Source organism: Homo sapiens, chromosome 19 (assembly GCF_000001405.40).
Source record: "Homo sapiens chromosome 19, GRCh38.p14 Primary Assembly".
Classification (NCBI taxonomy): Eukaryota; Metazoa; Chordata; class Mammalia; order Primates; family Hominidae; genus Homo; species Homo sapiens.
Window position 1 is genome coordinate 56,460,190 of NC_000019.10, and position 17,672 is coordinate 56,477,861.

General features: G+C 48.1%; 1 protein-coding gene across 20 annotated transcripts in view; it reads right to left on the reverse strand.

Moving 5' to 3' along the window:
* ZNF667 (zinc finger protein 667) overlaps positions 1-17,672 on the reverse strand; it is a 38,765-nt gene that overhangs the window by 20,861 nt on the left and 232 nt on the right. For 2 of the 20 annotated variants that reach the window (NM_022103.4, NM_001321355.2), the window contains exons 1-3: positions 17,083-17,156; positions 2,149-2,240; positions 500-626 (exon numbers count right to left, since the gene is read on the reverse strand). In NM_022103.4, the coding sequence (NP_071386.3) occupies positions 500-626; positions 2,149-2,181 (160 nt within the window). In that variant the 5' untranslated portion in view covers positions 2,182-2,240; positions 17,083-17,156. Of the gene's footprint in view, positions 1-499; positions 627-2,148; positions 2,241-3,102; positions 3,146-11,509; positions 12,434-13,822; positions 17,157-17,261; positions 17,345-17,404; positions 17,639-17,672 lie in introns of those variants that run through there. The other 18 variants (XM_047439210.1, XM_024451640.2, XM_047439209.1 and 15 more) reach the window with 18 other exon arrangements.

The following is a 17,672-nucleotide window of genomic DNA, read 5'->3' on the forward strand; positions in this document are numbered from 1 at the left end:
GGATAAACAAAATGTGGTCTATCCATACCATACATATTCTTTGGCAATGAAAAGAAATGAGGTATTGGCACATGCTACAACATGATGAACCTCAAAAACATTAGAAATCAAAGAAGCCACATATTTATGATTTCATATGTATGAAAGGCCCAGAGCAGGCACAACCAGAGAGATAGAAAGTGGACTAGTAGTTGCTGAACCTGGGGGGATGAGTGGCCAGGGGAGACGAAGAGTGACTGCTTATGGGTACTGGGTTTTTGGGTGGAAATAATGAAAATATAATTGATTGTGGTGATGGATGCATAACTCTGAATACACTATTATAAAAACCATTTAATTGTGTACTTTTTATGGGTGAATTGTATAGTATGTGAATTATATCTCAATAAAGCTCTTTTAAAAAAGAAACTGCAGTGGCTTCCATTTTCCTGACTAGACCCAGAGTGATGCATGTCCCTCAATAGGCTGGTTCTGGATTGTGGGGGACGAAGAGCCTTACCAAGCGAGACCAGGTTCCGGTAATTCTCCAACATGACATCTTCATACAAATCCTTCTGAATGGGGCTCAGCCATTCCCACTCCTCCTGGGAGAAGTAGATGGCTAAGTCCCCAAATGTTATAGGTGCCTGAAATGAAAAATCAAATGTCTATTCACCATGGACTTGTGCTTCCACATGGCTGGAGGAAATGGTGCACACATCTTAAACATGGGAGACACAAGGTACCAAGAATCATTCAGGAAGCATTCAGGGTTCTGAGGCCAAAAGGGGCAGGTGTATTAAATAAGTTAAATAAAATACAATATAAGACATAGCTGTTATTAAAATTATGTTGCATTAAGAACACGTGGCAACCTGGATCTACCAGGCATTTACAAAGTCAAAGCATTCTTCTAAGCACCTGACTGTACTGGCTCACTTAGTGCTCATGTGAATCAGTGATAGAGGCACTGTCAGCGGAATCACAGTATGTTACAGATGAGGAAACTGAGGCCCAGAGAGATGAGAAAACTTACTGCAGGTCTCACAGCTAGTAAATGGAGAAGCTAGTGTTCAGCCCAGACAGCTCCTGATTTAATCTCCTAACCACTTGCTCTCCAAGAAACATGTGAATATGTTACACATGACAAAAGGTTCTTTGAGGGTATAATCAAGGTTACTGATCACTTGACCTTGGCAGATTATCTTGGACTTGACCTGGCCAGTTGGTTATTGGTTCTTGCTGTCTTGAAGATGAAAAATGAGGGTCAGGTGGAAAGTGTAGGAAGGAACTGAATCTGGCCAATAACCAGCAAGTCTGGAAGAGGACCTGAGCCCCAAATGAGAACACAGCCGGCTGACACCTTGATTTCAGCCCTGTGAACTCCAAAGCAGATGACCCAGCTAAACCATGTTGTGCCTGGACGCCAACCACAAAACTGCATGATAATAAACACGTGCTGTTTTGAGCTGCCAAGTTTGCAGCTAATCTGTTACAGCAGCAAGGGGCAACTAATACACCCAACTGAAAGCAAACACATTTGTTATGGGAAACTGCATTTGAGATGCCTGTTGGAAAAACCACTCAATGATTGACAGTCGTGGAGCATGCTGACCACAGGAGGCTACGCATACAACCTCACTGCCTGCACCAGTGCAGTCAATGGAATAGCAGGGCTATGTGGTGCCTTTTAGTCTTGGGACCTTAGTTAAAGAGATTTCCTCCATGTAAATATGGGTTTTACAAGGAGATACAAAACCACACAACAAGACTAACTCCAGAGCACATGTCAAGTCCCCTCTGCTACTGCAGGCCCCACCTGGGCATTCATCTCCATGCTGAGAAATCACAGTGGCTCTCATCTTCCTCCACGGAGGACATTTCTCTTGGGGAGGGCATTTCTCCTGGCACTGGCAAAGCCCCTGGGAATGCTAAACAAACAGGCCAGTGGCCATGTGCACACTGGGAATGGAGAGAGGCTCGCTGAGCAGTTTCCTGGCTGCTGGGCCCTTCTCAGGTTCTCATCCCTCATGGCAACGGGAGAAAACCAAAGACTAGGTGTTGGATGGATCTCCAACAGGCAACAAGTCTCCATGGAAGGAAAGCAAATGGTCCACATCTCACAAGACACGATGGGGTGTTCCGGAAGGAAGAGGAATTGCCACTTACCTTGGATTTGGATTTCCCCCGTGCAGAAGGCATCCTTTCCTCCCCCTTTAGGGTCCACACTGAGAGATGGGCAGAGAGCTGGTAAGGCAGGGCTGTGGGGAGAAGACAGGTCATGAGGCAGTGCCAGAGTCCACAGGCCCCTACCTAACCTGGAGACACACACACACACAGACACACATGCACACATATGCACGTGCACACACACACACAGATGTCAGAACACCTGGCGCATTCCTGTCCCCCCTCACCTGCTCACGGTCAGGGAAGGGCACGGCCAACCCTTTTTGTGCCTAAGATCATAGCAGGTTCTTGGTCATGAGGCAAATAAGGACTGCACAGACCTCTGGCCATCCATCTGACAAGTATTTACTGAGCACCTACTGGGTGTCCAGCTGTCCCAGGTACTGGGGGGAGAGCAGTGAGTTAAAGTGGAAGAGTGCCGGCTCCCAAGCACCTTACATTCCAGTAGGGAAAGAAAGTCCATATAAAGCACAATGATGGACATGGTCATTGCTATGAAGAATAAACAGGCCAGGGCAGGGGTTAGAGTCGTGGAATGGTCAGGGAAGGTGTCTCTGAGGAGGTCACATTGAGCTGAGGTCTAAATATGAGAGCATGAGCCATGTGGGTGCTAGGGGAAGAGCATTCCAGGTAGAGGCACAGCAGGTGTCAGCGTCATGGGTGGGCGCAGGCTAGGTGTGAGGAGAGCAAGGTCTGTGTACTGAGGCAGAGTGAGTGCAGCGGGGAGGGTGGGCTAAGGCAGGCAGGGCCGGATCATGAAAGGGGTGCTGAGCAGCTGGGATTTGATCTCAAGTGTGACATCACTGGGGGAGGAGGGGGAGCTGAGAAGGGGAGTGACACCATCAGACAACATTTAACAAAAATTTGTGGCATGTCTATATGGTGGGTTAACTGTGTGTCAGAAGAGGGAGCAGGAGTGAGGACAGGACTCACTAGGTAGCTTTGCAGAAATCCGGGGAAGATGTTGGTGGCATGACTAGGGTGGGTGGAGTGGAGGAAGGAAGATGTGGTCAGATCGCCTCCTCAAGAGGGCCCCTCTATCCACCCATCTCAAAGAATCTCTGCCCTGTATCAGTCTATACCTATGCTGTCCAATGTGAATGCCACTAGCCACATATGAAAACTGAGCACGGGAAATAAAACTAGTGGAACTGAGGAACTCATTTTCTTCCCTTTTTTTTTCTTTTGAGACAGGGTCTTGCTCTGTTGCCCAGGCGGGAATGCAGTGGTGTGATCTTGGCTCACTGCAACCTCAACCTCCCCGGCTCAAGCGATCCTCCCACCTCAGCCTTCCAAGTAGCTGGGACCACAGGCACCTGCCACCACACTCAGCTAATTTTTGTATTTTTCAGAGACAGAGTTTTGCCATGTTGCCCAGGCTGGTCTCAAACTCCTGGGCTCAAGCAATCAGCCCGCCTAGGCCTTCCAAAGTGCTGGGATTACAAACATGAGCAACTGTGCCCAGCCCGGAACTCATTTTCACTCCAATCTATTCACTATTAAAACAATAATAAAATAAAATTTAAAATTATTGCTAAAATTATTAAAATTTACTGTAAATTTAAAATGAAAAACTGATACTCAATTTGGTTACCGTAAAACTTTAAAGTATGTCTGGAACAACTTGGGTATGTGACTCTGCTTTTCCAAAGGTTTTAGGAAATTAAGTACAGATCAGGTATCTCCACTGAAAATTAAGGGTCTAGATGGACCGTGTGTATAAAATTTGTATCAGATTTCAAAGACTCAGTATGAAAAAATGTAAACTATCAGTATGAAAAAATAACTATTTCATTGATAACTGTTTATATTGGCTACATGTTGAAATGTTAATATTTTGATATAGTCAGTTAAATGTTATTAAAATTAACTTTAATGGGCCAGCCCAATGCTTTGAGGCTGATGCAGGAGGATCACCTGAGCCTAAGAGTTTGAGAGCAACCTGAGCAATGTAGTGAGACCCTGTCTCTATAAAACATTAAAAAATTAGCTGAGTGTGGTGGTGTGTGCCTGTAGTCCTAGCTACTTGGGAGGCTGAGATGGGAGGATTGCTTGAGCCTGGGAGGCAGAGGTTGAGGTGGGCCAAGATCATGCCACTGCAGTCCAGCCTGGGTAGCAGAGTGAGACCCTGTCTCAAAAACAAAGCAAAACAAAACAAAATTAACTTTAATGATAAATGTGTTGCTTTTTACCCTTTTCAATGTAGCCTCTGGAAAATGTAAAATTATCAGCCTCACATTATGTTTCTGTGGGGCAGTGCTGCCACATGCTCTCTTATTGTATTGCCCCATTTTCCACATAGCACTTACCGCTTTCTGAAAACAGCTTCTTTATGTGGGTGTTTATGTGGGTAGTACCTCCCCCCTCCCTAAACACACACAATGATCTAGGCTGGAAAGCAGAGACTTTGTTTTGTTCACCGCTCTACTCCCAGGGCTGAGAACCTACCTAGCATAGAGCAGGTGCTCAATAAACACTTGTTGACTAACTCAACCAGATCCTCAGTGTGCTGAAACCCCATCCCAGAGACACAGTTCTGCTGCAGCCATTCCCTGGCCCTCCACATTTGTCTTTGGAGAGGACAGAAATGGGGACATACTTTTCACTTCCCTTACTGTGGAAAGCTTGACATCTTGAGAAAATGATACAATGAATGCCTAATTACTCTTCACCAAATGTTAACATTTTTCCTACCCTTTTTTATAAAAAGGCAGTTGTCTGAAAGTTGTAGAATGACAGTTCATCCCTAAATGTTCCAGCACACGCCTCCAAAGAATGCCATCGTCATACCCTGCTGCCAACAACAGCAGAAATATCCCCAAAAGCTTTTTGTGACTTTGTAATGAAAAAAGTACAGCAGGACACAGCCTGGAAAATGGAAATAATGGATGTTCCCTCTACAGATGTTTGTTTCGTCCCCGTAGGGGTGGAGGTAGAAGAAGATAAATCCAAGGCCATCAGGCTTGAGTTCAGAGTTAGGTAATGGATATGTTTTGATACAAAACATGGATCCTAAGATGGCCTTATCCTATTTAAGAGAAGCTAGGCAGAAGAATGCTTGGATTATTACATGTCTCTCTTTGTAGGATGAAGTTGTAGTAAGAATACGAATACTAAGATGAATTATTAACAAGATGAATAAATGTTCCATGTGCTAAGCAACACTGAGGATTATCATTTCAATTCTCACATCTGGTGGCAAGTCCAGTTCTGACGCCGTTTTCCAGATGGGAAGGTGGAAGCACAGAGAGGGAGGAATCACTTGCCCAACGTCATAAGGTAGACCAGTGGCAGAGCCAGGGTTCAAACCTAGACATTTGCCCCAAATGCCTGGCTCTTAACCCTACTGTGTGGCACCCTCCCCTCTGCCCATGTCAGAGGAAACAAGCTGAGCAGAGAAGATCAGCAGGGCAGGCTTGAGGCTGCTCTCCCAAGAGGCCTGTGTGCAGGGTCAGCCCCAGGCTGGCGTCTAAGGACCTGGCTGGGAGACCATTCCCTACACGGATATAAAACTTTTCCTGACTGTTAAGAATACCTTCAGCTTCATGGTGTGGTGCAGGGAGCATACAATTTACGCCTTATGTTGAACCCCTGCTTTCCTCCTGGGAGTCTGCAATTTTGTTATCTGCCAACCAGAGAATGCCGACGTAACCAGCTCACAATAACAAATGTGGACACTGAGTCTCTAATGGGCATGCTGTGTAGACAGCACCTCGCATGTGTTGTTCTAACTCGTTACTAAGGGAATTAGTATGTCACTCAGGACTGCACTGGGAGAGGACTCCAGGGAGCCTGGCCCTGGCTTCCCCAGGCTCTGCTCTGTGCACCCTTCCCTTTGCTGATACTGCTCTGCATTTTTTGGCTGTAATAAATCATTAGCTGTGAGCATGACTACAGGTTGGGTCCTGGGAGGCCCTCGAGAATGCTGGAACCTGGGAGGTGGCCCTGCAGACTCCGAAACATAAGCCAGTAAGAGGTAACCCCCACTCTATCACACCCCTCAGCTGTATCAGCCTTAGAATGAGGATCCAGCGAACAGTCATTCTGCAACAGATGGAGTTGAGGTGGGCACATGATCAATGTCCTGGCCCCAATGGGAGGCAGCTGGAGGTGTGGTTTCCCAGCCCCTCAGGATGGTGCCCTGAGCCACACCCCACTTCTCTGGTGCTCTTGTTAGAGGGACCCCTGGTTACCAGGCCTCTGGTTTAATAAAACATGACTAGAGTGACTCTGTCTTAAAGTGAGTAGCTAGGCGCTCACAAGGCCCCTGCTATAAGGTTAATGCTTACAGTATGAAAGTAGCCACATCCTGAGCTGACCACCTATTACAATTACAGAAAATTTATAGACACACAGAACATCTCCCACCAAGCCTGCAGAATGTCCAGATGTCCTGAGAGTGCAGCCCACTTTACTCAGAGATAACATCAATGACCAGGCTTAGGCTGAAGGATGAATGGTCATTGATAGCACAAACAGCCCTACCTTTAGTGAGTGCATCTGCACATTCCAGGTTTAATGACAGCTCCTTACAGTTTCCCATTCCTTCTCCTGCTTTCTGAGAACACCCTACTCTATAACAGGGTAGTTTCCAATAAACTTGCTTCTTTCACTGTGCTCTGTGACTCACCTTGAATTCCTTCCTGTGCAAGATCCAAGAACCCTCTCTTATGGTCTGGATTGGGACCCTCTTTTCCAGCAACACTCACTGGGCAAGAAGGGGCGGGGTCCCATGCAGGTGAGCCATGGTCCAGGAGGGGCCTCTAATTAGCACTGTGTGCCATGCCGGCCACATCATGCTAAGGGGAATACTTGACTTCATCTGCCTGGGAATGGGGTGGGGGGGAAATGAGGGCACTGTGGGCATTAGTGACTGTGGTAGACCAGAGTTATGGCCACCCCCCCAAAGATATGGACATCCTAATCTCCAGAACCCATGAATATGGCACCTTACACAGCAAAAGGAACTTTGCAGATGTGATGAAGTTAAGGATCTTGGGGGCGGGGGAAATTATCCTGAAAATGGAAAACACACAAACCATTTTTCCTCTGCTGTCACACCACAACAATCCATGACCACATGTGTGAGGAGTTTTCCACACACCAAGCAAGCAATCATTTCTGCAGCGGCCCCAGCTGGGTGTCCTCCAACTCAATTCTGACACTATGTTCCTGGGGACAGAATCAGATCCCAGAGCTTGAGGTCTCAGCCCCCAAGACTGCCCCACCTGCCCCACCTTCAGATACCAGTTGCAAGTCTGGACTTCAGGAATGTTTGACTGACTGGCTTTAAGCTGGGGTTCCCACAATCCCCTTTTGGGTTCAATTATTAATAATTTGCTAAAGCAGCTTACAGAACTCAGGCAAATACTGACATTTACTGGTTGATTATGAAGGCTATTCCGAAGAATACAGAGAAAGAAATGTGTAGAAATACAAGGTATGTGTGAGGTGGTGTGGAGCTTCCATGCCTTCCTTGGGAACCCTCCAGGAACCTCCATGTGTTCAGCTATCCAGAAGCTCTTCAAACCCTGTCCTTCTGAGTTTTTATGGTGGCTTCATTACACAGGCAAGATTAAACTACTGGCCCTTGGTGATCAACTTAACCTTTAGTCTTTCTCCCCTCCCCAGAGGTTGAAGGGTGGAGCTCAATGTCCCAACTGTCTAGTCCTGCCTTGGTCTTCCTGGTGACCAACCCTATCCTGAAGCTACCCAGGGGCTGCCAGCCACCAGCCATCTCATTAGCATACAAAAGACATGTAAAAGAAAAGGGCATGGTGCCTCACACCTGTAATCCCAGCACTTCGGGAACTGCTTCAGGCAAACCTGTTTCCCATTTTATTACTAACCACGTACCTCCCTCACAATATGCCCAAAAGAAAATTCTTTTTGGACAGAGGACACACAGAACTCATGAGATAAATGCATACCTGATTGCTCCCTTTGCCCTATTTCACTAAGCCAGACCAAGGCATAAGTGACTACTCCTCTACCCTCCTGTCACATGTAAACTGTGTGTTCAGTGAAAGGCTCATCAGAGACTTGAAGGAATGCAACTGTTTGTCTCTTATCTACCTATGACCTGAAAGGCAGGGCCCTTGCTTCGAGTTGTCCCACCTTTCTGGACCAAACCAACGTACATCTCACACATACTGGCTGATGTCTCATGTCTCCCAAAAACATATAAAACCTAGCTGTGCCCCGACCACCTTGGGCACATGTCAGGACCTCCTGAGGCTGTGTCACAGGTGTGTCCTTAGCCTTGGCAAAATAAACTTTCTAAATTGACTGAGACTTGTCTCCGATATTTTGGGTTCACAGACATCACTTTAGAAATTGTAAGATTTCAGGAGTTTTATGCCAGGAAACAGGCTAAAGGCTAAATAGTTATTTCTCAATAGCACAATCCTGGATTGCCCAAGTGGGCTCAACATAATTACAAAGGTCCTCTTTATAAAACGGAGGCAGGAGGATCAGAGTCAGACAGAAAAAGAAATTGCAAGATGGAAGCTATGCTGCTGGCCTTGAAGATGAAGGAGCACCTGCTGCCATGGCTTCGTAGCTCTGCCTTTCAGGACTGTAAGAGAATAAATGAGTGTAGCTTGAAGCCATCAAGTTTGCGGCAATTTGTCACAGCAGCAAGAGGAAATGAACACAGTGACCCTTCCACTATTTCCTTCCAGTCCTCATGCCCAATAAATGGGCTTCTTTTGTCAGTGACCTGGTGCTGAAAACATCTGTAATTCAGGGGAATTACAGGGCTAGGGTGAGATGAAGAGGTCGGCTGGTGATCGCTGAAGCCGGCCTGTGAGGCCACTCCAAGAGGCAGAAAGGAGCGCTGAAACATCAGCCCTGCCTGCCTCCCTCTTGCACACGTGCACACACACCCACGCACGCACATCCAGAGCTCCCTCATGCTGAGGAAGCTCAGGGTCCTGCCTTGTTTTAGCCAGGGTCAGAGGGAAGGGTGAGGCGGCCCCCAGTGGTGGTAAACACATCACTCTGGGGTCAGACTGAGGGTGGCAAGTGTTCCTATCAGCTGTGTTACCCTGGGCAAGCCACTGAACCTCTCTGTGCCACAGTTTCCTCACCTCTCAATTGGGGACAATACAGAACCTACTTCTGGAGGGAGTTGTAAGAATGAAGAATCACGTTTGGGTCCTACACCCCCACCCCCATGCCAGTGCCTCCCTGCTAGTCCCTGAAGGGGCTGCCACAGCCCCACCTCACTTCCTTCAGTCTGCTCAAACCTCACCTTCTCAGCAAGCCTCACTAACCATTCTATTTAATAATGCAAGCTGCCCCCCACCACCCTTCACGGCTGGTTCAGATATTTTTTTTCAGCAGCTCTTATCGTGGTGTAACTCGCTGCAGAATTTGCTTATTATGCTTACTGTCAACCGTCCTGAGGACAGGCAACTCTGTATTCCAAGTGCCTTAGACCAGCATCCAGCACACGGAAAGGGCTTAAGTGTTTGCTAACTGAATGACTGAATGGCTTTGTAATAAATATTAACTTTCTTTACCAACACTTTTTCAAGGAGCCTTCCCTCACCCACTAAACCGGGGTAGGGGTATGCTTCACATGTATCAGGTGCCACTTCTTCACAGCGGAAACACATTCCATTGTGAGCACATTTGCCTTCTGGCTTTATCTCTTGTCCTCCACCGGACAATGCATTGACCAATGTTCTCATGTGTGCAGCTGTGTGACCTTGGGCAAGTTACTGAACCTTGCTGGGTCTTTACCTCCCTCCTTTACATCTGCAAAGGGAGGACAAAGGGCTGCTGGAGGATGAGATGAGATCATATCAGTCAGTGCTCCGTTAAGGTAAACTCTATTTACCCTCACTGCTGTTGAGGTTACAAGTGCCAGGTGGGGCCAGTTCTGTGGGATGTGAGTTTGGGAAAAGGTCGCATTGACCGTCCTTAGCCCACATGCTCTATGCACGTGCTCAGGTGTGTGTGCTGAATGTGCTCCATGCCTGGGCAGCAGCGTCACCTCCTCAGTTAATGACGATGAGAATGAAAGCTGTGCTGGCTCCTTTCTATGCATCACACCATCTCCTTTAACCTTGAATGGCAAATCAACCACCCAGGGTCCTCATCTTCCATCGCGGGGATGAGAGAGGGACGATGACCCGCCTGTTGTCACAGAGCTTTAACTGATGGAGCCTGGATTTGAGGCCCTATCCACAAGCCGCACACTCTGCACTCCTCACACATGGCAGGAGTCCACTATCCACCCTGGCAGGGCACGGGAGGCATCGGTGTGGTGAAATGCTTCCGGAAAACATCCCCATATGTATGTTTCTGTCATAGTAGAGTGGCCACAGGAGTTGGGGAAAATTTGAGCATATCATGTTAAGACTGAGGAGCGAGGGCTCGGTGACGAACTGAGCAGACTGGCCTTCGATTCTGACTTTTCTGAGCGAGGTTTCCTTCGTACAGAGATGGGGACCAAGAGGCCTGCCCTGAATCCTGGACACCTGAATTCTGGGCTGTGTTAGACCCTAGGACAACGGTGTGCTGGGGAATGTTTAATAAGCAGCTTGCTGCAGGGGTGATTTATAGTGTTTACAACTTCCATGGAGTAAATACTCTGATATGGTTTGGATCTGTGTCCCCATCCAAATCCCATGTTTAATTGTAATCCCCAATGTTGGAAGTGGGACCTGGTGGGAGGTGACTGGATCTTGGGGGTGGATCCTTCGTGAATAGTTGAGCACCATCCCTTTGGTGCTGTTCCCGTGATAAGAGTTCTCACGAGATCCAGTTGTTTAGAAGTGTGTAGCCCCACCCCCCCTGCCTCTTTCTCCTGCTCCCACCATGTAAGACACCTCCTCCCACTTTGCCTTCTGCCATGAGTAAAAGTTTCCTGATGCCTCCCTGAAGCTGCTATGTTTCCTGTACAACCTGCAGAACCGTGGGCCAATTAAACTTTTCTTTAAAAATTACCAGTCTCAGGTATTTCTTTATAGCAGTGTGAGAACAGACTAATACACACTCCCACCACAGCAGGTTGTAAGCTATTGAACTGATGTCACCTGGCATGGGGCTGAATGGCTTGGGTGAGCCAGCTCCAGCACACCACTGCTGCAGGGCCTTTGAGAACAAAGCCCTATTCTTTGCCTGGGAATTCTTAAACTTTGGGCAGATATCCCTGAAGAGTACAGGAGGGCTAATGCCTATTTCTATGGTTTGAGATATATCCCAAAGCAGCTGCCCATAACAGAAAACTCTTTTGATTTCTTGTTTTGAAACACGTTCATTTGTGCATATTACTTCATAATAAATCTGGGTTTGTGTTAATGTAAAAATCATGTTTTAAATGATTTACCAGATAAGCAGATCAGTTGGCTTTCCCCTTCCAATTACTTAGGTAAAATGACTTGTTCCAGGAAGTTGTAATGCATTCATCCCGCAGTTTTCACAGGTGTGTGCACTCAGCCACGCACCCCAAATTTGAGAAGATGATTCTTGTCTGATATGGTCTGGCTGTGTCCCCACTCAAATCTCATCTTGAATTATAGCTCCCATAATTTCCACGTGTTGTGGGAGGGACCCGGTGGGAGATAACTGAATCATGGGGGCGGTTTCCCCCATGCTGTTCTCATGGCAGTGAGTAAGTCTCATGTGATCTGATGGTTCTGTACAGGGACTCTCATTCTCCCTGTGGCCATGTAAGACGTGTCTTTCACCTTCCATCACGATTGTGAGGCCTCCCCAGCCACGTAGAACTGTGAGTCTGGGTATGTCTTTATCAGCAGCACGAAAACAGACTCATACATTGTCCATAAAATAATTTTCTTCAAGGAACTCGGCACTACTGGGGAAGAAAGAACAGCAGTTTGATATTAGGTAATCCTGGATTCAAAGCTTGCCTCTGCCAATTACTGGCTGTGAAAAAGTTACACAAAGCCTGTTTGCTCATCTATACAATGGGGTAAAGAAAACCTACCTCACCTCTGCTGTTAGGATATTTACATGTGATGTCTTCGGTAACTGGAACATGGTCATTGCTTGCCTTCCTTTTCCTTTTCAACTCACAATACAGTTGACCCTTGAGCCATGTTAGTTTGAATTGTGAGGGTCCACTTATATGCAGATTTTTTTCAATAGAAGTTACACTGAGTGTGCCTACCTCTCCGGCCTCCCCCTTCCGGCTCCTCCACCTCTTCCACCTCTGAGACAGTAAGACCAGCTCCTCCTCTTCCTCCTCAGCCTACTCAACTTGAAGGCCATGACGATGAAAACCACTCTACTTCATGAACAGTAAATATATTTTCCTTATGATTTTCTTAATAACATTTTCTTCTCTCTAGCTTATTGTAAGAATAGAGTATGCAATACATGTAACACACAAAATATGTGTTAATAGACTGTGTAGGTTATTGCTTAGGTGTCAGTAAGGTGACCAGTAGACTATTAGTACTTAAGTCTTTGGGGAGTGAAAACTCTATGTGGATTTTCTACAGTACAGGGGGTTGGTACCACTAACCCCTGCACTGTTCAAGGGTCAACCACATACCAAGCATCCAAGAGACCAACGAAGACTGAGACCCACTAAAAAGGCTGAGATTAGAATTCTTATCCAGTGCTGGAGGAGATAAATTGGTGTAAATTCAATGGAGGGCAATTTGGCAATGTCTTTAAGACCGAAGATACACGTTATTTACCCCTGTTGTACTCTTTAATCCAGCAACCTTATTTCCTGTACATGTCTTCAGACATCTTTGCACATGTGCACAATGAGAGACACACAAAGGTATTCACAATGGCAGAGTTTATAGAAAGGGGCAGTACATTTCCTTGGGTAAGGGGTGGGCCTGCAGCAGGCTGTCTATGTTCAGTATTTAACTCTGCCGTCCGCTATCTGTGTGGACTTAGACACTCTATGTGTCCTCTCCCGGCCTGAGCTTCCTCATATGTAAGATGAGACAAAACACAGTAATGACTTCACAGGGTTGTGGTGAAGATCAAATGAGTCAAAATACGTAACACATTTAGAGTGGTGCCAGGAAGCAGGGCCAATGCTAAGATTTTCATTATTACTACCACCATCAGGAGATTGGAAACAACCTAACAGCCCATCAATAGGAGAATGGCTAAGTGAATATTACATGCATATAATGAGACACCACATATTAAAAGAAACAAAGTAGAACCATAGTAGTGATTCCTAACTGGGGGTAATTTTGCCCCCTATGGGAAAACTGCAATGTCTGAGGCTATTTTTGGTTGTCACATCTGGGAGTAGGGGTGCCCCTGGCATCTAGTGAGTGGAGGCCAGGGATGCTGCTCACCATCCTGCAATGCACAGGACAGCCCTCCAGAGCAGAGAAGGATCTGGTTCAAAACATCAACTGCGCCAAGGCTGAAAAACCTCCAAGATAAAATGGTATTATAAGGGCAAAAACATAGAAAAGTCATTTAGAAAAAAACAAAATATAGTATACAAATACATGACTTTGAAAAGGCTCTGGAAAGATAAACAAAAAGTTTGTAGCAGTGACTGTCCCTGAAGAAAGGAACCAGGTTATATGTGTGAGTATGGAAAAATCCAAAACCCGCTTTGGCATTTTGTGTCATGAACGTATAATTACATCTTCAAAACAACAAATGAAATAAAAGAAGGCTGGATCGCACATACCACATCAAGGCAGGGCTGTAAACCTGGCTCGTCTTCCGAGTCCCTGATGATAGATGAGAAAGGGCTTTGAAAGGCACAAAGCTATGTCCTCCTGAGGTGAGGACGGCTGGAACCTGGATGGGAACATGCTTCAAAGAGTTACTGAACCGTGGTTGTGCCTCCCTTCTGAGGCAAATAACTGAGGGGCCTTCCCCTCCTGCCCTGGCACCCCTTTGAGCCTTGGGGGCTGTGCTGGGTATTGAATTGGGGGAGGGTCCTGATATACTGAAAACCAGCCATTAAATGCACTGCCACAGCCTCATTGCCTCCTTTGGGCCAGTCAGCTTTTGCTGTACCAGCTGTCAAATATTCAAAAATCACTCCTGGCCTGAACCTGCCAGCCCCAGAGGCCAGGGACATACGTAGGCAATTTCTCCAAAGACGTCAGCACAGCTGTCACAGGAAGAACACAGGCTATGCATATGCATGTCTAGCCTGCCATTTCCCCACTTTGCCCGGGAACACATTAGGTTACCTCACTTGCAGGATGGGGCTAGGAATACCCCTACTGCAGGGAAGTGCAGCTGTGAGGACTGTTTTTGATAAGATAGCCAAGCAGAGGTCACTTGCATCCTCCCCCTGACTCCTCCAAATCAATTTATCTCATTCCCAGAGGCCCCAAAGGAGCCTGAGCTGCAGGCACTCAGAGCTGTAGCTCTTAACCCTGTGCGTACATTAGTCTCTTGGGAGCTTTCTAATAAATAGTCACAGCTGATGGCAGTTCACTATGCCAGACCAATTAAATCAGAATCTCTGGGGATTGAGTCTGACCCGCCCTTTTTTTTCTTTTTTTAAATAAAGCATTCCAAGGTGAGAGTAACATTGAAGGCATCGTTTAGAATAACGTTCGAGTCTCAGAGTCTCAAGGACAGGGCTAGAGATCTGACCTCTTTCTGTTGAAGTCCAGACCTCAGTGAAGAGAAAAGTCTTTGGTTAAGATCAAAGTCAAACTCTTAGATTCCCCAATCAAGTGATACCAAAGGGTCACTGCTGGTGGTCCTTCCTGGCTCTGGAGTTGACCAAAATGCCCATGGGAGACCTGGATGTTGACTCCAAAAAGAACACCTGCCAAACACCCTGTAATCCCTTTACCCTGCTTTACTTTTCAAAGTACCTATCAGCACCTATTATAGACTTTATTTTTGTCTCTCCTACTAAATGCAAGTTCCAGCTGAGTAAAAACCTTGCCTGTTTTGTTGAGAGACTAGCACAGTGCCCAATCCATGGTAGGCACTCACTGGCTGAATGAATGAATGCATCTCGGAGCTTACCCGGGCTGCAGGCCGTTTCTTCTCATCTCAGAACACTATCCTTTTATCATCTCTCCGTGCCCCGCCTTCCCCAGCTCCCTTACTCTTCTCCCTGTCATCATGCCTTCGGTCTGTCCATGCGCTTGCATCACGGTCCTCTCAATCAGAGTGATTTTGCCCCTGCAGGGGACATCTGACAGTGTCTGGAGACATTTTTTTTTCGCTTGTCACAACCCAGAGGGAGGCGCGGTGTGCTACTGGCCTGGTAAATAGAGCCCAGGGTTGCTGCACAACATCCTATAATACATAGAATAGCAGCCCCTCCCACCTCCCAACAAAAAACTATCTGGCCCCAAATGTCACAGTGCCAAGGCTGTGAAACACTGGTCTGGACAGAAACATTTCCAGACCCATGTGTTATATGGAAACATCCCTTAGTCCCTGACACTTCAAAGTTCTGTTCTTGACCCCATGGGCTCCCTAGGGACATCTCCATCAGGAAGATCCTTTGTTCCTGACCCCACCTCCTCTACCCTAATGCTGCCCTCCCAGGACCCTGCCTACACAATTCTGAACCTAAGCCCTGATCTAGACGTCCAAGTTATTTTACCTCTGGACCTGCAACCCTTACTCTGGGGCTCATCCTTTTGCATTTCTACCTATGGATTTTATTCTCCAGGTGTGGGACGCCTGCGGTTATTATGCTAATAATAAAACGATGATCATTGATGTGGCACTTCCTTGTGCCAAGTTCTACTTATGCTCACCATAAACCTGAGGTTGGTTCTGTTATTACTACTGTTTTACAAGTGAACCGAGGAGTGGTGGACTTAAGTAAGCTCTCTCAGTCACACAGCCAGCCAGTGGTGAAACCAGGAGTCAACACCAGACAGCGGGGCGCCACAGTCCATGCTCTTATTTTTCCAAGCTACCTTGGTAGGAAGGGGACACAACCATACTTAGCGTCAGTGGAGGGCTCTGTCCTCCACTCAAATGTACACATGCAGAAAACTGACGACGCAGGTGGTTGGCGGGGGCAGCGCACCACTGCTCAACTGGAGATGGTCAGATGCCCTGGTATGTGGACAAAGATAGCCCAGTCCGAAGCTCAGAGATGCAAAGTCCTCCAGTATTCACCACTACCTCTGCCTCTGTATAGGGTCAAAGAAAAACGACCACCAGCACCATAACCAACACCTAAACACGGTGATTAGTATGTGACAAGCTCTGTGCAGGGTGTTTCAGCTACGTCATCCCATTTAATCTTCCCAATAACACCCAGGCAGGTGCTATTAATATGCTATTTTACCAAGGAGGAAAGTCATGCACAATTAAACAGTTCCACAGATTTCCAGGGCAGCCCATCACATCTTAGAGCTGCTAAGAATTCTTCCCCTGTGGGCCTCCATTTCCATGGTTACAGTGAGATATACACCAGAAAGGCACAGTCACACACTCATAACCGCAAAGCCACTGACGCTAAGTGGCAGACAGACGCCCAGGCAAGTCACACAGTAACCCAAGGCTACAATAAACGCCCACATCAGCCTGACACTGACACACGCACACACTCCAGAAACACAAATCTTCACAGTCAGCGTCACACACCCACTCCCGGCTTCCCAATGGCTCCATTGTTTCCTTCGCGTGGGTCACGCAGCGATACACATCCGCGGTCCCGACATAGCTCCCTCACACACAGGCACACACGGCTCGCCTCACACGCGGCGCCAACTTCACACTTGGGCGCACAAGCCCCGAGAACCACAGCAGCGAAGGGCGCAAACCCCACGCCGTGGCGGGCCGAGAACCCACGCAGGCGCGAGCCCACCGCCCACGCAAGCACCCGCGCAGACGCCCACGCCATCGTGGATGCGCAAACCCACGCGCGCCTTGGCAGGAACGTCCACGCAGTGGCGGGCGCGCCGCCCACGCCCTCAGACACACCCACACTCTCGCCAGCCCCCTTACCTCGGTCTTCCCGGGCTCAGACCCCGGCGGCGACCACCGAGACAGCCGAGCAGGGACTCAGCGCCTGCGCACTCCCCTCCGGGACCCCGGGACCGCGCGCTGCACCCCCCTTCACACACGCACCACGCATGCGGGCGCGTGGCCCCGCCCCCAAACAAGGCCACGCGGCGTGCGCTCACCCGCCTCTCGGGGACAGTACCACCAGCCCCGGCCTGAGGCCCCGACCCCTCAGCGCCACACGCACAAGCGCGTTCGCACGATTGGTGCAGGCGGACGCGCGAGGTCCCGCGCCTGCGCACACCCCCGAGGCTGGCACGCACACCGGTCTCCTAGGGGACTGGCGCCTGGCCCTGCTTTTCATCCTCTCAGGAGATCACGTGTGGACACTGAGGCCCTTCCTCGAGCTCTTTAACCAAACCCAACCTCCCCAATTCGCCGCCTTCCCCGCTCCCACAACCACACGTTCCCGTGTGAGGGCTTATTGCCTCCAGCCAGCCAGCGTCCTTCGCCCCCACATTCACGAGGTTTGGAGCCGGCCTCACCCGCGGAGGCGGACACCGCCCACCCGCGCGTGCGCACTACGCAGTCAT